At 51.5% G+C, this 22758-nt stretch overlaps 2 long non-coding RNA genes across 6 annotated transcripts in view, besides 3 other annotated features; both read left to right on the top strand.

The window, feature by feature from the left end:
• Positions 1-22758, top strand: part of ZMIZ1-AS1 (ZMIZ1 antisense RNA 1) — a 124123-nt gene that overhangs the window by 32742 nt on the left and 68623 nt on the right. The window lies entirely within an intron of this gene.
• Positions 10977-11326: an enhancer, noted in NCBI's record as "active region_3621". NCBI's record gives its function as "activates an Ori minimal core promoter by ATAC-STARR-seq in GM12878 lymphoblastoid cells {active_cell/tissue: GM12878}" and the evidence as "EXISTENCE:reporter gene assay evidence [ECO:0000049][PMID:35858748]".
• Positions 10977-11516: a biological region, named in NCBI's record as "CRISPRi-FlowFISH-validated PPIF regulatory element GRCh37_chr10:80782948-80783448". NCBI's record gives its function as "regulatory_interactions: PPIF".
• Positions 11016-11516: a transcriptional cis regulatory region, noted in NCBI's record as "chr10:80782948-80783448 region (GRCh37/hg19 assembly coordinates) targeted for CRISPR interference". NCBI's record gives its function as "negatively regulates PPIF gene expression in GM12878 lymphoblastoid cells {active_cell/tissue: GM12878}" and the evidence as "EXISTENCE:mutant phenotype evidence [ECO:0000015][PMID:33828297]".
• LOC112268062 (uncharacterized) lies at positions 13750-16837 on the top strand. Of its 3 annotated transcripts, XR_002957086.2 has the most exons (3): positions 13750-14146; positions 14655-14792; positions 15367-16837. It is a non-coding gene; the product is annotated as an uncharacterized LOC112268062 (long non-coding RNA). The 3 variants fall into 3 exon arrangements; XR_007062213.1 differs by lacking the exon at positions 14655-14792; XR_007062214.1 differs by having other exon boundaries at positions 13750-14792.

The raw sequence follows: 22758 nt of genomic DNA, 5'->3' as shown, positions 1-22758 counted from the left end.
GCCAATCTTCGGAAGAGGAGTGAGGGAGGAGGGGCAGGGAGTGTGGTGATGATGAGTACATGTGGGAACTGTGGAGGCTGAAGTGATTGCAAGATGATCAAATGCAAAGTCTAGCAGGCAGTTGAACATTTTGGCCTGGAGAGGAAATGTGGGCTGAACGTAGGGACTTGGGAGATGTTGGTGTCTAACAGGGAGTGGATGAGCTTGCCTGGAAATGAGTGGAAATGGTGCAGGTCACAGGGCTCGGGCCAGAGACCCGGGGATCCCCAGGATTGAAAGAGCAGGAACAGGGGTACATAGTGGCCTGAGAGAAATGGCACGGAGAAGTAGAGGTGAGGACCGAGAGGAGCACTGGGGAAAGTATTGAAAGGAGAGGCAGCGGACCCCAGGAAGCAGGCAAATCAGATCAACCACAGGACTCAGGTACAGCCAGGCCCTGGTGATCTTGGAGAGTACCCTCTTGGAGGAGTGGCGGAAGGGGAGCCAGTGGGGGAGTGAGTGAAGGCTGGAGCTGCTGAGGAACACGGGGATCAAGCAGAACTTCAGACGAGAGACTTGGGCATGTCTAAGAGCTGACGGGAAGAGCTGGTACAGAGGGGCATTCTGGCCTCAAACCTAGGGCCTTTGGACAACAAACATTTACAGTAGTCCCACCTCATCCCTGGGGCATACGTTCCAAAACCCCAGTGGATGCCTGAAACCATGGATTGTACCAAACCCTATGTACACTATATTTTTTCTTAAACATACACACCTATGATAAAGTTTAATTTAAAACTTAGACATAGTTGCCCAGTCGCAGTGGCTCACGCTTATAATCCTAGCACTTTGGGAGGCCAAGACGGGGAGATCACTTGAAGCCAGGAGTTTGAGACCAGCCTGGGTAACATGGTGAAACCCCGTCTCTACTAAAAATGCAAAAATTAGCCGGGTGTGGTGGTGGGTGCCTGTAGTCCCAGCTACCTGGGAGGCTGAGGCATGAGAATCACTTGAACCTAGGAGGTGGAGGTTGCAGCGAGCCAAGATCTCACCACTGAACTCCAGCTTGGGTGACAGAGCTAGACTCTGTTCAAAAAAAAAAAAAACAAAAAAACAAAGCAAAATAGCACAAAAAATAGTAGGCACAATAAGAGATTAATGATAGTAAGTAATAATAAAATAGATCAATAATAATCATATATGTTTATTAAAGTTATGTGAATGTGATCTCTCTCTCAAAATGCCTTATTGTCCTGTGTCACCCTTCTTGTGATGATGTGAGATGATAAGATGCCTATGTGATGAGATGAGGGGAGGTGAATGATGTAAACCGGTGTGCCCAATCTTTTGGCTTTCCTGGGCCACACTGGAGGAAGAATTGTCCTGGGCCACACACAGAATATACTAACAATAGCTGAGGAGATGACAAAAAATTGCAAAAAAAGTCTCATTTTTCTTTCTTTTTTCTTTTTTTTTTTTTTTGAGATGGAGTTTCACTCTCGTTGCCTAGGCTGGAGTGCAATGGCGCGATCTCAGCTCACCGCAATCTCCGCCTCCCGGGTTCAAGCGATTCTCCTGCCTCAGCCTCCTGAGTAGCTGGCATTACAGGCATGCGCTGCCATGCCCAGCTAATTATGTATTTTTAGTAGAGACGGGGTTTCTCCATATTGGTCAGGCTGGTCTCAAGCTCCCGACCTCAGGTGATCTGCCCGCCTCAGCCTCCCAAAGTGCTGGGATTACAGGTGTGAGCCACCATGCCAGGCCAAAGTCTCATAATGTTTTAAGAAAGTTTATGAAGTTGTGTTGAGCCGCATTAGAAGCATCCTGGGGCACATGCAGCCTGTGGGGCACGGATTGGACAAGCTCAATGTAGGCATTTTGATGTAGCATTAGGTTTCTATCGACCTTGAACAGGAACACTGTAATACCCTGATAGCTGATCTGATAACCAAGAAGGCTACTAAGAGATGAAGGAGTGGGGAGTGTAGACATCTTGTGCTGGATAAAGGGATGATTCATCTTCTGGGCAGGATGAAGTGGGACAGTGCAATATTTCATCTCGATATGCAGAATGGTGTGCAATTAAAAACTTATGAATTGTTTATTTCTGGAATTTTCCCATTTAATATTATGAGACCACGGTTGAACACAAGCTGTGGGTCAGTGGGGACTACTGTGTTATCCCTCACAGTTCTTGGTTGACTGGGTTCAGCTGGCCACTTCTTCTGGTTCGCATGGCGTATGCTGGGGCTGCTGTCATCTAAGGGTTTGACCAGAGCATAAACACAGCCCATTCAGATGGTGGGGGCTGATGCTGGACGCTGGTTGGGGGCTTGGCTGGGGCTGCCTCCATGAGGACTTTCTACCTTGATTAGGCTCCTCACAGCCAAACAGCTGGATTCTAAGAAGAGTGTTTGAAATGCTCCAAAACAAGCTATAGACTGGGACGGGTGGCTCATGCTTATAATCCCAGCGTTTGGGGAGGCCAAGGTGGGAAGATTGCTTGAGCCTGGGGGTTCAAGACCAGCCTGGGTAACATAGTGAGACCCCCGTCTCTACAAATAAATAAAAAATTTTTAAAAAAATTAGCCAGGCATGGTAGTCACGCCTATAGTCCTACCTACCAGGGAGGCTGAGGTGGGAGGTTTACTTGAGCCCAGGAGTTTGAGGCTGCAGTAGCTATGACTGTACTACTGCACTCCAACCTGGGTGACAGAGTGAGACTCTATCTCTAAACAAAACAAAAACAAGCTACACATATCTTAAGATCCAGTCTTGGAAGTGACAGCATCACTGCCACCATATTCTACAGGTCAAAGTGAGTCACAGGCCAGCCCGAAATCAAGAAGTGGAGAAATAGACCTCATCTTTTGGTGAGAAGCGCTGCAAAGCATTTGGGTAATCTTTAATGCAGCACAGGACAGGGTGCACCTACAAGAGAATCACTGACGGATCCACTGAGAAAATGGCAGAGCTAGGGGTCCAGGGCACTGCTGGGATTTGCGTTAGAGAAAAGGGTTTGGAATGGGCTTCCAGAAGGATAGAGTCACGTTGCATTTTATCAAAAGATCTGAACAGGCCAACCAACCACAAAGTTCCTGGTTGTATAAACCTCTTTGTACATTTCCATCTCCTTGTACAGTAGGTAGGTAGAGACAGCCTCTAATAACAATATATTTCATTGAGTGCTAATATATAGCCTTAATCAGTTCTCCCAAGGGGCCTATGAGGTCAATGTTGTGATGCCCATTTTATAGGTAAAGCAACTGAGGCTCAGCAAGTCTCTCTCTCTCTCTCTGAGTTTGTGTGAATGTCTGTGTTGATTGCATGCCCATGCAAAGATATTTGCTCTCTGCATCTGAGCAGCAGGAAGCCATTAGAAGAGGAAACCCATATTGGATGAGAATTTCATTCCACACCCAGGAAAGCAGGGTTAGGATGTGGGGGCACCAGCTCAGGCCCTGGTAGCTGTGCCAGGGACCTAGGACCCTGGCATTGTGAGGTCCCCTCCTCTCAGAGCCAGAGGATGGGGAGAAAGGACGAGATGCTTGGCTGCTGAAACCATGGACTGGTGGTGACCGCCATTCCCACCACCCTAATCATGCACTTGTGATATTAATAAAAATAATTTATGTCATGTGACTGCTTTTTAACTAGCTGCTTTCAAGACTTAAGACCAGGATTATAAAAGGCATGCATTTATAAATTATTAGCCCAGAGCTCATAAGCACATATACTTTGGGGAACACTTTGGTAGCACTTTAAATTAATTTATTGTCATTCATTCCAGCTGTCTGTGATGTAAACCTTCAGCTATAAATTTGTACCATCATCTGACACACCATTAACTAAGGTGCTGCCCGAGCCAGAGCATACAATAAAACACTTAAATACAATTTCTGTAGGGATGGATGTCTCTTCCTTCTCCTTCTCCTTCTTCTCCCTCTCCTTCTCTGTTCTCCTCTCCTCTCCTTTCCTCTCCTGCTAATGACAAGCAACACAGAGAGAAGTCAGGTGCTTGAGAGTTGTGTTGGCAAAAGAATCAGGGAGGACAAGACCCACTCTGTCCCAAGGCCCTCCTCCAAACTCACAGGATTTTATCCCTTGTACAGATGGGGCATCAGAGGTCCAGAGAGGGCATGGCTTTGTCTAAGGCCACACAGCCAGCTGGAACCATGCTCTCCATCCTACTCAATGCCTCCTTGGTAGGTAGACTGAGTCTATGCTCCTGAGAACTTTGGCCTGGGCATGGATGACCCCTGGAACTCTGAGGGAAGCTTTGAGCAGGAAATGAGATTTCTTTGAGGGGAGTTTCTGGCAGAGCAATCAGCAAAGAATTCTGGGGATCGCTGGGCAAAGAGAAGAAAAGGATGGAGGGGATTGATCCCATGATCACCAGCAGAGAGGGGCCCAGGGGGAACAGAGCGGATGCTTTGGAAAGTAGCTCCAAGGAGGACAATTTTGGATCCCACAGGGAGGGATTTGGTAGTAGTGGGAGCTGGCTGAGATTGGAGGGAGTCCCCATCCCTGGAGAAATGCACCTGGGGGGCCGTGGGAGGCATGGAATGGTATGTTCATGTCCTATGCTGCTGTAACAAATGGCCACTGAAGTTGTGACGTGAAGCAACAGGAGTTTATCATCTTACAGTTACGAGGCCAGAACTCCAAAGTGGGTCCCACTGGGTTACAATCAGGGTGTCAGCAGGGCACGATCCTCCTGGAGGCTCTAAGGGAGAGTCCAAGCCTTCGTCTTTCTGGCTTCTGGAGGCTGCCTGTGTTCCTTGACTCATGGCCTTCCCTCCATCCTCAAAGCCAGCAGTGTCAGGCCGGGTACCTCTCATGCTGCCCCTCTCTAGGGCTCTCTTCTGCCTCCCTCTTCCATTTCCTGTCTCCTGTGATTTCCTCAGGCCCACCCAGATAATCCAGGATAATCTCCCCATCCCGAGGTCAGCTGATTAGCAAACTTAACTCCATCTGCAGCCTTAATTTTCCTTTCCATGTACCCTAACATATTCCCAGGCTCCAGGGACCAGGGTGTGAACATCTCTGGTAGGGCTGTTATGCTGCCCACCGCAACGGGGAATAGGGCCCCGAGGTCTCCCTCACACAGACAGATGCTCCTATCTGCAACCAGAGGAGGACATTTTATTTTTTCACTTGAGCAGGATGAAGGAAGAAGAAGGAGGAAAAGGAAAAATGAGAAAAAGAAAGAGATTAGGCAGGGCTTGGGGGAGAAGAGTAGAAGGTGAAGAACAAGGGGCAGGAGAAGTAGTAGAAGAAAGAAGGAAAGAAGGAGGCTGGTTGCGGTGGCTCACACCTGTAATCCCAGCACTTTGGCAGGCCGAGGCAGGAGGATTGCCTGAGGCCAGGAGTTTAAGACCAGCCTGGGCAACATGGCAAGACCCTGTCTCTACAAAAATTAAAAAGAAAAATTACCCTGGTGTAGTGGCGTGTACCTGTCATCCTGCTACTGGGGAGGCTGAGGCAGGAGGATCACTTGAGCCCAGGAGTTGGAGCCTGCAATGAGCTCTATGATTGCACCACTGCACTCACTCCAGCCTGGATGACAGAGCGAGACCCTGTTTCCCCCCACAAAAAGAAAGAAAAAAAAAAAAAAGAGAAGGATGGAAAATTGAATCAGGTCTCACATGAGATGGCTTTAGCCCCTGTACTCTCTGTAAGGTTGAGTTGAGCTAAGCATCAGGAGGCCTGAGTTCAAATCCCAGTCCTGCTGTGTACCTGCCTGGTGACCAGAAGCCAGCCTGCTGCCTGCTGTCTCTGCCTGAAGTGTCTCCATTGAAAAAAAAAAAAAAAAAAAGGTCCCACTGGCCCTCTGGCCCTGGCCTTTGATAGTTCTCCAAATTAAGGGTCTAAAGTAGGCTATGTTGAGGGAGACTGTTGGGGCACCATTTTGGGGCCAGGCCACGATGGTGGGAATGTTCCAGAAGACTGCCTGGCAGGGTAGAGGCAGCAGCTGCCCCAGAGGCCATCTGGCCATTGCTGCTCCTTGAGGGGATGGATGACTGTCAAGCCCAGAAGGTTCCCGGCTTCCGAGGTGGCATTCTGGGAGCTGCAGGTATATGCCCACACCCCAAACAGCAAGGGGCCATGAGTTTGCCCCCTGCACCTGAGCTAGGGACAGACGTCCCCACTGTCCTTCTTGCCCTCCCTCCAGGAAGCCCTAACCATCCTGATCGTCTGGCCCTGGGGGTTTCCTTCTAGCTTGGAAAGAGCCCTGGAAGAAGCTGAGCATTCTCTGCTGACAGTCATGGCCTTTTTCTTTTAAGGGAAGGGTCTTTCTGGAACCTTATCTGTCTACCCTCATTTCTCTCAGGCCCTTAGCTTGGAGAGTAGCAGTGCTCACCTCATAGGGCTGCTGGCAGGTAGCAGGACAAGCCCCCTACACAGCTCTGCCGCACAGTGTCTGGCACATAACAGGAAATCAGTGGGGTGGGGGCAGCCTTCCTATCTGGTGCTCCTGGACATGCCGTGCATGTTCATTCTCAAATACCCCTCCTCTCTGACCCCTGCCAGGGACCTGGTGGAAAGAACTGCAGGTCTGAGCTCGTGGCTTCTCCTTATGTGACTGGGCCTTGGGGTTGACGTTATTGTTTCCTCATGTGTCTTGCTGGCCTGGGAGGGTCCTCAGAGGCCACAAGGGCTGTGATGGCCCCAAGGTAGGATTGTGTCTGCCTGGCCTCTGGAGCTCCTGGTGCCACCTGCACCCCCTACCTGGTAGGTGCTAGGTCAGGTGCTGGAAAGAATGGATGTGTGAAGGAAGTGGTGAGTGAGTGGACTCCCAGCTGGGAGGTTATTTGCTCAGCAGCCATTCATTGCTCAGCTCAGCTTCTGAGGCAGGCAGGGTGGGAGGTGGGGCCTGCCCAGCTTTGCACTCTGTGGCTTACTGTGGGCTCCTGCCCTGCATGTGCTACCGTGGTGGGTGTGTGGACCACAGGCACGAGGGGGAGGTGGGTGAAGGCTGGGGACGGGGGTGTCTGTGGTTTGTGGGCTCCGAGGGTAGCCCCAAATCCTCAGCACCCCCCTCTCGCTGGTACTCGAGTCTCTGCTTATCTCCAGCCAGACCTTGAAGAGCCAAGCACCAGTTCTATTAATCAATTATCTGCTGCCTGGGCTGCGAGTAAGGCTGTTGGGCCAGATAAACCCCAGGGGAGGGGAGGCGACCAAGAGACAGACAGGTGCGTGGGGGGATCCGCCCCCTAATCTGGAGCATGCCCCATGGTCAGCACACTTGTGATGGGTGTGCACTGCCATGCTCACACATGCTGGTGTGTTCATCTCAGGGCACATACGTCACCTCTCCCATGGATACATACACCCTCACACGGTCTCTCCTACAGGCACCCTCACATGCACACAAACCCATAGCCGCATCTGGATCCCCTTGGCGGCACACCTCTACCCACACAGCTCTCCCACCTACACAGTCGCACGTGACCTACATAGACACGCTGTCTCCCAACACCCACCTGTGGGGCCTGCTGCCCACACCTGCCCCATGCATTCACAGTCATGCACACCTTCACACACCTTGCATGTACACGTACACATGTACTTGCCCCTTGCCAGGGCTCATGCTGAGGGCTTCCTTAGTGTTCCCTAGGCAGGTGGTGCCAGTGTGGATGGCCTTAGGAGGATTCTGAGGACAGATGGACCATTATCTGGAGTTCTGGTTGGTTGGTTGGTTGGTTGGTTGGTTGGTTGGTTGGTTGGAGTTCTGGCCAGGGAATTGGTGCACCTGGATTCCAGGTCTAAATTCACTGCCCACGGCGCACCCTGGATAAGTCCCTTTCCAGATTCAGATCTAGGTTTCCTCATCTGTGAGGTGGGAATAATGCCAACTCTAGTGGATGTTTCCGGGATCCAATCTAGAGCTGTCACAGATGGGAACATGCTTTGTGGACACAGAGAGGATCAGTTTGTATTATCCTTGTTCTGCTCACCGCCATCATTATTGTTGACTGCCCAGGTCCTTTGGGGCGCCGGGAAGCCCTGCCCTTGTGCTGGAAAAGCTTGGTTTGATCCTGGTAATCTTGAGCATTTGGCACCCCCACCCCTGCCCCAAATCACTGCAGCCCTGCCAGGGTCCAGCTCCTCACCCAGGCTGCCCTGCAACGAGCCTGTCCAGATGAGCAGCACCCTGGGGTCCCCCGTGCCCCCCAGCCAGGCCCTGCCCACCTCTTTGGGTCACACCTATGTCTGCCTCCACCAAGGGGGCCGTTACTACTCTCGGGGGGCCAGGAGCAGCTCCACGATGAAGTAGGGGTTGCTGGGGTGGGCGGGGACAGCGAGGAGTGCCCATGTGGCCTGGGACTGTGTGGGTGTGCATGACTGTGGGTGCTCGTGTCGAGGGGGGTGTTGGTGGGGATCAGGGAGTATGAGTGTGTGTGTGGTGTGTGTAGCTGTGTGAGCAGGGATGCAGCCTGTGTGGCTGTGTGAATGTGTGGGGTGCGTGAGTGTTGGGGCCATCTGAGAGTGTGAGGCTTGTGTGTGCCAGTGTCCCTTTTGGTATCTGAGAGTGGTAATGTAGTGTGTGTGTGTGTGTGTGTGTGTGTGTGTCTGGGTTATGGTGGTGACTCTGGGGTACTTGGGGATGTCAGTGTGGAGGCTTTGTGTGTGGGTCTATGTGTGTGTGTGTCCATCTTTCTGTGTGTGATGTGTCTGCATGTGTCTGTGTATGTGTTTATACTGTGTGGTGTGTGGCAGGTCTGTCTGTGGAGTGGGAGTGTGTGTTTGTGTGTGTGTGTGTTTGTACTGTGGTGCGTGTGTGAGAGTGTCTGTATACCTATGTTACACACAGTAAAACTATGTGTCTGTATCGCGTGTGGCAGGTCTGTCTCTGTGTTTGTACTGTGTGTGTGTGCATGCTTGCATATGCATCTGTCTACATATGTCTGTACGGTGTATGGCAGGTTTGTCTGTCAGGTGGGAGTGTGGGTGTCTGGACGGGAGGCTGTGGTGCGGGTGTGGGGTGTGGGTTTCTCTGTCGGGCGTGTGAGTGTGAGTGCAGCGTGTGTTGTGTGTGTGAGGGGGTGGTGTGGTGAGGCGGCAGAGAGGCTGGCAGGCAGGCGGTCAAGGTGCTCCCCCCGCACTTCCCTGTGTGCAGTGGCTGGGCTGACAGCCGGGCGGAGAAGAAAACTAGACGTCAGGGAAATCAGTCAGAGACAAATCGATTCCCTTTAGAGGTGAGAAAAAGCAGATGCCACGGCTGCTGGTGGCCTGTTAGGCTCTGAGCCACATCCCTCGCAGCCCTCCCCCACTCCTGTGCCGCCAACACCGCCCCCCCAACCCTGTGCCTTTGTGCTGGGCCTGCTGCCTGGCAGCCGCACCAGCCCTTCCTGCAGCAGGACCCCGCCTGCACAGAGCCCACGCTGGGCATGTGTGTGTCAGTGTGTGCCTGTGGGTGTGTGCATGCCTGTTTGTGACTGGGGGAGTACAGACGTCATTGTGGGCCTCAGCTGACGGCCCCACCTTGCAGACTTCAGAGACTTCAGTTGGTCCCCCACTTGCTAAGGACAACGAGGGAGCTGGACCAGGGATGGGTGTAAGAGGAGCTGTCCTTGGGCATCACTGGTACCCCAGCCTTCTCCCTGCATGAACATCAGGCCTCAGCAGCATCGCTCCTTCCTGTAGCCTAGTGAGGAAAGCCTATTCCCAGATCCAGCTCTCTGCCGAGCTGGCCCAGATCAGCTGCTGGAGCCTCAGACTCTAGTAGGGGGCAAAGACCAGCCTTGTGGCCTCATCCCTACAGTGGAGCATGGGGCGTCTCTGGACCTGGGAGCCTGACCCAGCTGCCGGCAGAGCTGCTCCTGCAGGATGGGGCCCTGACCCCTTCCTGGGCCTTGCTGACACCTCTGCTGTCAGGTCACTCCCCTTCTCCAGGTCCCCTCCCCCACCACTCCCTTTCCCACTTGGTGGCAACAGCCAAAATCTATCAGGAAACAAGGGCTAAGCCTGCTGTTGCACAGAAGCTCTGTTTTCAGAGTTATCCCAGGCCCTCCTAGCCTGTATCTGTTGTCACTCACTCCGCATAGTTACTGAGCACTTGTTCTGGGCCAGGCTCTGAATTCAGCAGTGAGCCCCCCAGGCCTGCCTTCAGGGAGCCTCGCATCTAGCTGGGGAGATACATCATGCTTCCAGCTGGGACTGAGAAGTACAGGGTGGGAAGAGAGGGTATAAAGGGTCCCCACACCAGACCTGGCCTCATCCTTGCCCAGACTGCTGGGCTCCAACCTCTTCTTCTGCAGGCTCCCAGCGCTCACTCAGGCTGCTGCTTCTATAGGCAGGGCCTCCCCACCTTTCTGCTTGCCCACCTAGCTCCTGCCCAGGGGGCTCTCTTGGAGCTCTGAGCGCGGCTGCCACCTCTTCTCCACACTCTACCCTGTCTGGGACGGGAGGCTCTGCAAGGCCAGTGGCCCCATCTTTCTTCCTTTGCAGGCCAGCCAGGCTTTTTCTGGCATGGATGCCCCACTGTTTGAGTGTGAAGTGTTTGAAGCTGGAGCTGCTCAGTTATCAGACAGTAGAAGAGGTGGCTATTTCAGGGGCTTGGATTCTGTGATGTCCATACCCCACGAATGCCCCTCTCTGACCCCCCCCCCCTCTGTCTACCCTTGAGACCCTGCTCTCAGCTACCTACTGTCAGGCATACTTGACATATCTCAGCTCACTCTGGAATCAGGAACTTGCATTGACAGACCTGTATTTCCATCCCTGGCTCTCCTACTGCTGGCTGTGTGTCCTGAGACAGGCACTATACCTCTCTGGGCCTTGTTTCCTCTCTGGCTAAAGGGATGAAGATTCAGGCCCTGCTCTCCACTGAAGAACTCAGGACAGGTGGTGGGTACAAGAGAGCTGCTGGGAGTAACAGACGTTTTGGTGACTGGTGTTCATGGGGAAGACTCCTGGAACCCTTTCCAACCCCCACCCCTGGCCTGGATTCCCTGTGTCTAGCCAGATGGGAGAGGCCAAGGATCGATCTACAAACATTGATTGAACCAATTCTGGACCAAACCCTGTTGTGGAGACAGCACTTGGCACAGAGCCCATGGGATGTGTTGAAAGAAATGACTTCTGAGAAGAGGAGTGGACGGTTGTGTGGATGTGGGGTTGCTGGATGGCCCCTCCCCCCAGGGAGCTTACACTCTCACTGGGACCGGTTGGACAGGACAGGAGAGTGGGCTCTGGTTCCAGTTCTGCTTCTGACCTGCTCCTGGCCTTGCTGTTCATCCCTCAGTAAAACTGAGAGCTTAAGCTCTGTGACCTTGGAGACCATTTCCTGCTGTGATATTAATACCACCGCTAATAATGACAGTAGCAGTCGAGGGAGGAGCAAGCATGCTAATATTAGCCACACCTGTTGAGGGCCCGGCACACGCCAGGCCCTTACATATGTGATGATGTCAGTCCTCGTGATGAGCTGCACTCAGCATCTCCACGTTGACTGCGAGGGACCGCTGGATCCCAGAGCCAGGACAGAACTCAAGGCTATTTTGGTTGGGAAGAAAAGAGGTGTTCAGCTGACCTCAAGTACGGGAGGGTTGAGTGAAACGAGCATCATTGTGGGAACCTGGGTGAATCAAAGCAGTGGGTTGCAGACAGAGCTGGGACTGCAGTGTGGAGCTCCAGGGAGCCAGAGGCACCCTGTGCATCTGCCACAAGTCCCTGAAGCTGCAGTCCTGGCATCATCCCCAGGTACCTCCGTCTCCGCTGCTTCTCTGCTTCTTCCTGTTGCACGCCGTCTCCTGCATTCATTTCTTCCTGTGTATCTGGCCTGGACCTCAGCCCCTGCTCCTTATAGACGTGGCTGCTCTGCGGCCCTAACTCCTCCCTGGCTTCCCTCCAGGCCTCCTTACAGGCCCTCTCCCTCGGCTGCCTGCCCAGTTCACCGTGCATAGCCCTGTTGCTCCCCTCAATCCCTGCCGATTCCCACACCACCGTTTGCCTCTGGATTGGTTGCCCACTAGTCAGGTCCCGCCCTTCATCCAATCAGCTGTGGTGGGCGGGACACTTCCTCCAGCCGTCCTCAAGCCTGGCCTCAGGACCCTGTCACATTCTGAAAAGTTGTTGACGACCCGAAAGAGCTTTGGTTTAGGCAAAATATTGTTAAATATCTCTGGATATTTACCACATTAAAAATTAAAACTGAGAAATTACAAAATATTTTTTAATTCTTTAAGAACAACAAGAATAAACACTACACATGAACGTATATTTTTCATAAAAAATAACTATTTTCCTAAAACAAAGAAAGTTGAGCAGAAGAGTGACATTCCTTTAGGTTTTTGTGAATCTCTCTGGTGATTCACTTCAGAGGAGGCAACTGGGTTCTCCTGTGTGCTTCTTTCTGCATTCGACTTCTTGAGAGCCGCGTGGTCTTGAATCCTCTAGAAAAATGCCACAGTATGCTTGCATCAGACAGCGTAAAAGGCAAATACTGCCTTCTAGCTTTGCAGGCTCTCGAAGAAAAGCAGTGACTCAGGTGGTGCCTGAAGCCCTGCAGGGCCTCTTGGGTGTGCGGTGATCTTCCTTACCCTGAGGAAGGCCAGAGGAACCCAGCAAACAGCCTAGCCTAGGCAGGGCACCGGGTTCCCAGAGCTCAGCCGTCCAGTGGTGGAACTTTGAGCTGGACTGGGGGCAGCCGGGGCTAAGAACAACTTCCTGGGGGACGCAGTAGGTAAATGAAGCCATGAAAAATGAGCATTTAGGGGAGGCAGAAGGGAAAGGAGAAGTTTTCCAGGCAGTAGAAAATGATTGGGCACATCTTCAAAGTGGGAAAGTGAGGCATCGAGCCAAGGCTGGCTGAGACCTTGACGCCCCAAGTACTGACAGGATCATGGTGGTGTCCAGTCCCACCCTGCGTAGCTCAACATCAAGTTTATTTTCCATAGTGACGCTAAGCTTCCTTGCAAGTTGAAGTTAAAATAGCCTCTTTCTAGGTTCTGGATTGCAATCTTGTGGGTAAATGCACAGATGCTGGACCGATCTCATTTTTTTGATGCCATGCTGCATTAGCACCCAAGGGATGGGCTCCCTCTGCCTCTCAGGTCATGTATGGGCACTAAGGGTGAATGATGAGTAGGGTGGGTGGGGATGGGGGCCCTGAAAAGAACCTGGCAGCACCCCTAGAGCACCTGTGATTCAGGGCACCCCGTGCCAAGGGAGCAGCCTGGCCCGGAGCTGCCCTCTCAGCGGGGAGGAAGTAGAAGCCTCAGCCCAGCCTGGAACCTCCAAATCTGGGCGGGGAGTGTGAACCACCTTCCCTGCAGCCTCCAGTCTTTCCGCTTCCTTGTGGGGTGTGGACTTTGGAGGCTGATGGAAGGGTGCTGAGGAGGGGATGACCTTCACCCAAACAGAGAACTAGAGGACATGGGCTTGGTCAAGAGTGGAGGTCTCAGGGTTACGTGATGGTCTGTGGAACCACTGACAGTGTAAACTCCAGCCCTGCCTCTTATCTGTGCCTCAGTTTTTTGCTTGTTTGTTTGTTTTTGAGACAGAGTCTTTCTCTGTTGCCCAGGCTGGAGTGCAGTAGTGCAATCTCAACTCACTGTAACCTCCACCTCCCAGGTTCAAGTGATTCTCCCGCCTTGGCCCTCCGAGTAGCTGGGATTACAGGCATGCCCCACCATGCCTGGATAATTTTTGTATTTTTAGTAAAGATGGGGTTTCACTATGTTGGCCAGGCTGGTCTTGAACTCCTGACCTCAAGTGATCTGCCCACCTCGGCCTCCCAAAGTGCTGGGATTATAGGCGTGAGCCACCGCACCCTGCCGATGCCTCAGTTTTCTTATCTGTAAAGCAAGGATGATGGCACCCAACTCCTGTGGGTGACTGTAGTAAAGGCTAAATGAGATCATAGGAATCAGGCATTTCGTGCAAAGCATGGGGCCAGCTCCACGAGGCATGAGCTTTGTTTCATCTCTCCTGTGCAGTGCTATAGATCAGGTCCTGGTTCATAGGAATTGCTCAATCAAATATTTTGGAGAGAAAAGTTAATAAATAAACATATCAGTGGCTCAGGTAATGTCAGTTCCTTCTCTAGGCAAGACCTAATCCATCTACCTTGTTTTACAGATGGGAAGATAAGACCCAGAAAACAGAAAGGACATGTTTAAGGCCATGCAGCAAGTTAGTGCCTGACCTGAATATTGAAGTGAGGCCCTACTACCATCAGCCATGGGAACCATGGCTGGATGGGTCCCAAGCAATGAAGACCTTCTGGGTGTCTAGGGGAGAGGTTTGGGCCCTCCTCCATGTGCGTGTGTGTGTGCGCGTGCAAGTGTGTGTGTCTGGGAAGCCAGAAGATTACACTCTTCTTTCTAGGCCTTCTAGCCCTTGCTGGAAGGCCTGTAGTGAGTGGATGGCCTGCCTTACCCTCTGCACATCCCGCCCTGTTTATTGAGATTTCCATCCAGCCTGAACTCCTGTGGGGAGGTGTTATCTTCTGGACCAGAGCCCTATCTGCCATGAAGCCATTGTGGTGTCACAGGGGCTTCTGAGAGATCCCAGGCTGGAGACGGAAAGCAGAAGATTTGAAGTGGTGGGAGGCAGGGGCTGGTGTCATAACACACTTTCCACCCCTGGGCTGGGAGGGGCACTCCCTCCTGCTGAACTCTCCCAGGCCAGTGACCTCATCTTGCTCCTGTGCTTGTTTTCCAAAGGGTGTTGTAAGTTGACTGTCTGCTTTCTTCCACAACACTCAAAGTGTGGCCTGTGGAGCAACAGCTTCAGCCACAGCTGGGAGCTGGTTAGAAGTGCAACATCTCAGGCCCCACCCTAGAACATTAACATCTCTGGAGGTAGGACCCAGGAATCTGTTTCACAAGTCCTCTTCTGATGCTTAGAAAAGTTTAAACATCACTGCTTTACTCTATTTCTCGACAAAAAGATGACATTCAGTTTGGCTAGAATTAAAAGGGGTGGGTGTTTCCTGGCAGGTTTTAGAAACCTATTTAAATGGTTCCATTGTCCATTCATCCATCCATCAACCCATCCAACCATCCAGCCAGCCATCCACCCTCTTTTCATTCAACAGACATTCAGCTGCACTCGGGAGTTGAAAGGGGAAGGCTCGGGACCCTGGGCTCCTCCAGCTTGCCGTGAGACACCACTGTGTGGCAGAAGAGGTGGCCTCTGTCCCCTTTATCCTCCAAGTGTACCTGTGGTCTTCAGGCCGGTCACTTGCTTGAATCTGAGTGTGTGTCTCTGATCTATAATCCTAAAAAAGCTACCTAATGCAGGTGTCCAAGAGGGAAAGGGGAAGGAATTGCATGCACTTGGTGTCTATTGTGTGCCAGGTGTGTTCACACGTGTTATGACCTTCCACTCTTCCAGCTGCCCTTCATACTGGATAGCATTATTCTTATTTTACAGAGAAGAATATTGAGGATCAAAGAGACCAAGACTGCAAGCGTAAAAACTAAGATTGGAACCAAAGCCAGTTCTTCTTGATCCCAGGGTCTGCGCCCTTCTTCTGTTCCATGTTTCATTGTTCTTGGTGGACCTGGGGATCAATAGCTAGAAGTTAAAGGACAAACTGATTTGGGAAGTGCTTCCAGTGCTGTCTTGAGTGATGTCTAGAGATTAGCAGACTGGCTGTGAAGTGGTGAGCTGCCCATCACTGGAACCGTGCAAGCAGAGACTGGTCATGGTGATCACGGTGTTGGTCCTGTGTGAGTGTGATGTGGGGAAGAATTGAGACCAGATGACCTTTGAGGGCCTTCTGCTGTCTGAGGCGGGCCTGCTTGGGCCTGCTCCCAGGTCAGTGCCCCATGGATGGAGCCTCTGAAGCCAGCTGCTCATTATCTGTGGATCCTCTGCGGGGACACTGCCAGCTCCCAAACAGGAAACATGTCCAGAAATCTGTAATTAGAGCTGGGAGCCACAGGCCTGAGAGGTGCCTGCTGCAGCTTCAAGTGCAGACACGCCACCCTGGTTAAGTCCCTGGGAGAGAACCCAGTGAGTCAGGCCCTCAGATCTTCTCCCTGCCTGTGGCACCCCCGCCCCACCCCATTCCCCTTGGAAGGAAACCTGCTTTGGCCAGGAACCTACTGGGTGAATGGGTTTCATATACATTCTCTCCTCTGTTCTTCCCCAGAACCGTGGGAGAGAGGAAACATCTGCCATGATGCAGGCAAGGAATGCAAAGCTCCCAGACATCATGTGGCTCACTCAAGGTCACCCTACTATGGCCCTTGCCTTTCTGAGTGCCTGGTTTGACCTCTTGATCCCTCCAGGGGAGAACGTCACAGTCAAAGGAGGGGTGCAAGAGGCCAGTGGCACACAGAGAGGTCTGTGTGGGCCTGAGTGGCTCCTGGGTCTTCCCTGACTGACCATAACGCCTTTCAGCCTTTCTGAATCTGCCATGAAGGGACGGGTCCTTGCAGTGTTCCTCTGCCAGGCTGCCTGGCAACCCATGGCAATTGTGGTGGTGTTAAAACATGGCCACAGGCCAGGCACGGTGGCTCATGCCTGTAATTCCAGCACTTTGCATAGGGTATGGCAGAAGAGACCCTAAGTGAGTAAAGACCATGCCCCTGCAAATTATACTTTGTTTGCTGGAACACTCACTCTTGGAGCCCTGAGCCACCATGTAAAGAAGTAGGAAGATTCACTGTCCTGAAGCTGCCATGTTGTGAGGAAGCCCAAGCCACATGGAGGGGCCATGTCTAGGTGCTCCAGTCAACAGTCCCAGCTGAGCTTAGCCATCTAACATCCCCAGCTATTTTAGTTTTTCCTGAAATCCCAGAAATCATGGAATAGAGACAAATCTCTCCTGCTGTGCTCTGTCTGAACTGCTGACCCACAGAATCTGGGCACATAATAAAATTATTTTGTGCCATTAGGTATATAGTTGATTTGTTATGCAGCCATAGATAACCAGGACAGCTATGCCAGCTATGAAGTGCCATGCAGTCATCTCGGGGGTCCCACTCACAACATCTCCCCATACTCCTAGGAAGCTGGCTGGGCTCAACTCTAAGTGCAAAGCATTGTGCAAAGGGAAGGGCATGAAACTGGGGGGCCCTGCATCTCCTGGGGGTTAGAGTACTGAACTTCCTCCACCCACTGCCTTCTCAGAGATGAGCACCCTACATCTGGATCTGCCTCAGGCCCTCTTGTATATGACTAAGAATATTGGCTTGGTGTGGTGGCTCATGCCTGTAATCCCGGTACTTTGGGAGACTGAGGCGGGAGGATCCTTGAGCCCAGGAGTTTGAGACCAGCCTGGGCAACACAACAAGACCCTATCTCTACAAAAAATAGAAAAAAATTGGGCGGGCGCAGTGGCTCACGCCTGTAATCCCAGCACTTTGGGAGGCCAAGGTGGGCAGATCACCTGAGGTCGGGAGCTTAAGACCCCATCTCTACTAAAAATAAAAAATTAGCCCGGTGTGGTGGTGCATGCCTATAATCCCAGGTACTTGGGTGGCCGAGGCAGGAGAATCGCTTGAACCCGGGAGGCAGAGGTTGCAGTGAGCCGAGATGGTGCCATTGTACTCCAGCCTGGGCAACAAGAACAAAACTCCATCTCAAAAAACAAAAAACAAAACAAAACAAAACAAAAGCAAAAGAAAAAGATTAGCCCCGCCACCTCTTCAGAGCTGTGAGCTCTTGGGCAAGTTACTGAACTCAATTTCCTTGTCTGTAAGATGGGGATGAAAAATACCTACTCTGAGGGTTATTGTTAAGAAGTGCCCAGCACACAGTCAGTGCTGTGATCAGTGTAGCCCATTACTATTGCCCCAAAGTCACCTTCTTTCTGGACCCTGGTACCATCTCCATGTGCACAGGACTTTATAGTAAGTATTCCCTAGTCCTCCCAGTAATCCTGCGGGGCAGGTCAGCATCATCCCCACTGCAGCTCCAGGGGACATGGCCCCATGGCCAAGGTCTCAGATATGGACCCTGAGCTTGGGGCTATTTCTGCTGTTGTTGAGCCTCTTCTGGGATTTTTCTCCACATTCTCTGCTGGGACTCCTGGCTGACTTGCCCAGTCTCCTCCTTCCTTCTGGTCTCTCCTGCCTCTGGACTTCTGGAATCTTAGCCCACGTGACTTTGGATAAGTCCATTTCCTTGTCAGGGTCTCAGTTTCTCCATCTTTAGGATGCGGAAGTTGGGTTGGCTTCTGTCTCAGGGCCTTTCAGCTCTAAGAGAATCAGGTCAGTTTTCATATCTTTTATATCCCAGGGTGGCTTGCCCACAGGACTGCCTGCTGCTCCTCTCCAAGCTGAGCCTGCCGTGGCTGTGAACAATCCAAGAGGGTCCCACATCCCTGAGTTTGGGGCAGCAGGGCCAACCCCTGAGAAGAGAGAAGGGCCACCAACCTCTCTTCCAGGAGCTGAGGTGCTGGGGTATTTGCATCCAGCTTGGCCACACTCTCAGTTTTGCCTGACAGTGTGGCCAGGTGATGGGCCCACCCAACCAGGCCTGTCCTCTGGGCTTCTGCCCAGCTGTGGTCCTAGAGGCAGCTCTAGGCGGCAATGGGCTCTTCGGCTTCCTGACTTCTGGTGGTCCAGCCACTGCTGCTTCTCCTTCTGCTGGATCTTTCCTGGCCGACTTCACTGGCCCTTCAGGCTGATCTGAGACCTTACTTCCTCCAGGCAGCCTTCCCTGTTGTGCGATATCAGGCTCTTCCTTGGTCTTCAGAGAGTGCAGAGAGGATCCTGGTTGTGTTGCAGTCTGTAACTGCCTGTTTACTTACAGCTTCCCCCTCTAAGACCTTAAGCTCCAGCAGGGCAGGGCCCATATCTGTGTTGCTTGCGTCTGCTTCTCCAAAACCCCATACGGTGCTGGTGCTCAGCAAACACAGGTTGACCAAATTAACTTTTGATAAAGAAACAACTAACTAGAGCAATAATGCTCCTTACTGAAACTATTCCAGCCTCATCTGACTGTGACTTAAGCCAGGCCAGGAGAAGATGACTTCAATAGCATGTTATTTTGGTCCTTATAGGACTACTTTTACGAAAATGTCTGTTGGTATGGTATTAATATTGCTCCCCCAAAACATCTCCATGAGACCTGTCTTTGTGTCTCTTAGAATTTTATAATGAGGACTGTTGGAAAAATGTTGTAAAGCAGACAAGAAACAGCTATGACTTTCCCAGCATCAGGCTTTATGGGTTGATTTACTAATTTTATATCATGGACATTGTGTGATTGATCAGATTTCCTCTTTTGCACTTGCTTCCAGGGAGTTGAAGTCTAAAACTTTGACCCTTTGAAACAACATTTACAGCTTTATGGTATTCATTTTTGATTTAGCCAGATCTCTGGCCCTTTCTCTATTTTGCTTCTTATACTCCTATCCATTTCTAATTTAGGTTTTATTGTGGTACTTTACATATCTTTATATATCTCCTATTTATAGATTTACATATGCTTTAAGTCACTTTTGGGGGGAACAAGGAAAGTTATGCAAAGTACTTCAGAGCACGCTATTCCTGGGCTGACCCAGGATTCAGCCTATAAGCTAAAGAGTGCTGGTACTAGGTCTCCTTTGGGACACAGGGGTCTTCCCCTGTCTAGGTTGTGGCCATACAGACCCCCGGCAGCCTGGTCCACATGCTGCAGGCTGTGTGCTGCCAGGCTGTGCACTGGGTTGTTATCCCCTGACTTGAATGGGTCTGGTTCCCAGGCTTCCTCCTGAGCTGCTGGACTCACCACCCTGCTGCTGGCATCTTGTCCAGCCTTGCCTCTGTGCTTCCTGACCTCCTGCCTTCTCTCCCTTCTGTGTGGATGCTCAATGCTGCCCTTGAGAAACTGGCTTAGCTCCCTTCTCAGCTAAGACTTGACCTTGTCCCTTGAATGTGGGCTGATTCCAGTTGCTATGGGCAACCACACTTGGCCATCCAGGCTGGCCCACTGGTCTTTTGCTGGCTCAGGCCAGGGTAGCTGACCTCCAGGCCTTGAGGACGGGCCTGGGACAGCCTGAGTCAGAAACAGGAGCTGAGAGTTAGTACTAAAGCAGATACGATGCTCAGCTTCATCATTTTATCTCTGGAGATAGACATTTACCCCAAGATCCAGGGACAGTGAGTAATAGGAGTCCCATTTGACAAATGGTGAAACAGAGGTTCAGAGAGATGTGTTCCGCCCAAGGTCACACAAGAAGTCAAAGGACAAGAGGGCTTTTTCCTTTCAATCTGATGCTGGGCCCCTTCTATCACCACTTTCCATCCCAGAGCTAGGGGCTGGACTCTCCAGCAAAGATTGGGTGGGGGGGTTTCCAGTCACCTCCTAGCAAGGTGGGTCCTCTGAGGGCCACAGTCTTTTGAGAAGCCCCAGCCCAGCCAGAGTCACCAGTTGCCTAGAAGGGATATGGGCTTCCTCCCTTTCCTCTGTAAAGCATGGTTTGAGAAGGAGATTCAGCCCACATGCTCTGATTATCTGCCTCTTGGATGTAGAAATTGGGAAAGGGAAAGTCAGAAGAGGTGACTGTGGGGTGGAGGCAGTAAGGCTTGGGGAGCCTTGGAGAGGCTTCTTTTTGGTCTGCCAGGATTCAGAGCTGAGCTCTGTGCTCCAGTGAGGCTGCCACATGTTTTTCCTAGAGCTGTGCCCTCCTTCCTTCCTACAGGCCACGGTGTTCAGAGCCAGTGCCTTTGGAGGTGGTGGTAGCAGGGGACTTGCAAGACCCTCTCCCCCAGTTTGGGCATCAAGACAGGTGGTATCAATCCTTTTCTCTCTGAGTGACCTCGCACATGTCCCTTGACTCTGGGGGCCTGCGTTTTTGTCATCTGTTAAATGGGGGCCTGAGTCCTTGCCTGCCTTTCTCTTACTGCTGTTGTGATAACCAAAGTCTTTGTGTTCTGAAATGTTTTTCCATCTCTCATCTGAAATGCCGTGCAGAAACAATTTCCTAGGGGAACTCTGTGTACTTCCTCGCTGCTGACTCTCGACTCTCCTTGCTGAAAGCAACAAAACCCCTCCAAAAACAAAAGACATCAGTGCATCAGAATTCACGGAGCGGGTGGTGCTGTTTGAATTGGAAATCACTGAGGTGGTTTGGTTTCTCTTCGGTATCAGAGCTTCAGTCATGCAATGAGAATTGGTTAAGGTTTTGTGCAGTTCCACAAATATTTATCAAGTGCCTGCTCCTTGTTCAGCCTCGTGCTCAGTGTTGGAGCTGGAGAGGTGAGAAATCATAATGTGTGTGCCCGAGGGCACTGACCTCCGAGGCAGCCAGACCTGGCTCTGAGTCCCCGCTCTGGTCCTCACCACCCCGTGACCCTGGGCAAGACAGCTCCCTCCCTGAGTTTCAATTGTGACATGTGTGATGTGAGGCTAATGATGGCACCTTCCTCACATGTTGCTGTGAGAATTAAATAAGAAAATGCAAAGCTATTTTGTTAACAGTGACGGAAATACCAAATGTGGGTTTTGTTTTAGGAGCAAGTAGAAGACATGGGCCCTGCTCCATGGCAGTCACGGTTCAGTAACTGATTAGTTATGATACTGGGAGATTCGGGCTGGCGGGAAGCATATATAAGATGCTGAAAGAGCATAGGGAGGCCAGGAGGCTTCTTGGAGCTAGTGATGACTTCTCAGCATGTAGTGATGGGATCTGCCCAGGACTACCAAAGGAAGGCACATGTGAAATTTGGTTAGAGAAGCCCTTCTATATTTCTGGGGAGACAAATCTTGTATACATGATCTCTCTTACTCAGATGCTGCCCTCAAATTCTCCTGATGTCATTTTCAGGAAAGTTACAACCACATCTGTATCTTTGGGCAGAGTTTAGGGAGGAACAGGGCTGTAGTGGCTGAGGGTCAATTCTTTGAAGGCTTCATGATGGAGATGGCATTGGATGCATGGTGGGGAGGGAATTCCAGGCAGGAGGAAGGCAAGGGGAGGGAAGGTTCCTGGTGTGCATGCACTGGGCAGAGTCAGAAGGTCAGTCCCTCTAGCTATCTGATCCCCCAACCCGGAAGTCTCTAACACCTGCCAGGCCAGAGTGTATGGAGCCTCTGCTGGCTGAGGAGCTTGGATTGGAGTGCCTTGGGGCCTGGCCGGCAGCATGAGCTGAGAAGTCAGAAGTGAGCAGGTAGGAGGGGTGCGCTGTTCTTTGGTAACATGGGCATGGCTGGGTCAGGTGAGGCCTGGGAAAGGCAGGAGATGCAAAAGGCGGCTGGGGCAATAGTGCAGGTAAGTGGGACTAAGAATGGTTTTTTTGTTTTTTGTTTTTTGATGGAGTTTCGCTCTTATTACTCAAGCTTGAGTGCAATGGTGCGATCTTGGCTCACCACAATCTCTGCCTCCCAGGTTCAAGCAATTCTCCTGCCTCAGCCTTCCGAATAGCTGAGATTACAGGCGCGCGCCACCACGCCCAGCTAATTTTTTGTATGTTTAGTAGAAATGGGGTTTCACCATGTTAGCCAGGCTGGTCTTGAACTCCTGACCTCAGGTGATCTGCCCGCCTCAGCCTCCCAAAGTGCTGGGATTACAGGCGTGAGCCACCGTGCCTGCCTGGCCAAGAATGGGTCTTTAGATTCTGCTAGGATGGATGGAGCACCTGTCCAGTCTGGGTCCTAAAACCCTCACACCCTATGTTCCCTATGTGTGGTAGATTTTCTCCATTTCCCTCTCATATTCATTCTTCACCCTTCTCCACCCCGTTGTGTGCCCAGGGAGGGTGACCGTTATGGACTGAAGCAAACAATTCACTTGTTCACTGGGCTGTGGCTGTGGCTGAGTTCAGTCAGTGAAATTCTTTGCAGTTACTATTTCTGCATAACTATATCATAGCCTAAAACAACCACCAT

Source organism: Homo sapiens, chromosome 10, assembly GCF_000001405.40.
Source record: "Homo sapiens chromosome 10, GRCh38.p14 Primary Assembly".
In the NCBI taxonomy this organism is placed as follows: domain Eukaryota; kingdom Metazoa; phylum Chordata; class Mammalia; order Primates; family Hominidae; genus Homo; species Homo sapiens.
This window is presented reverse-complemented; position numbering and strand designations above follow the sequence as displayed.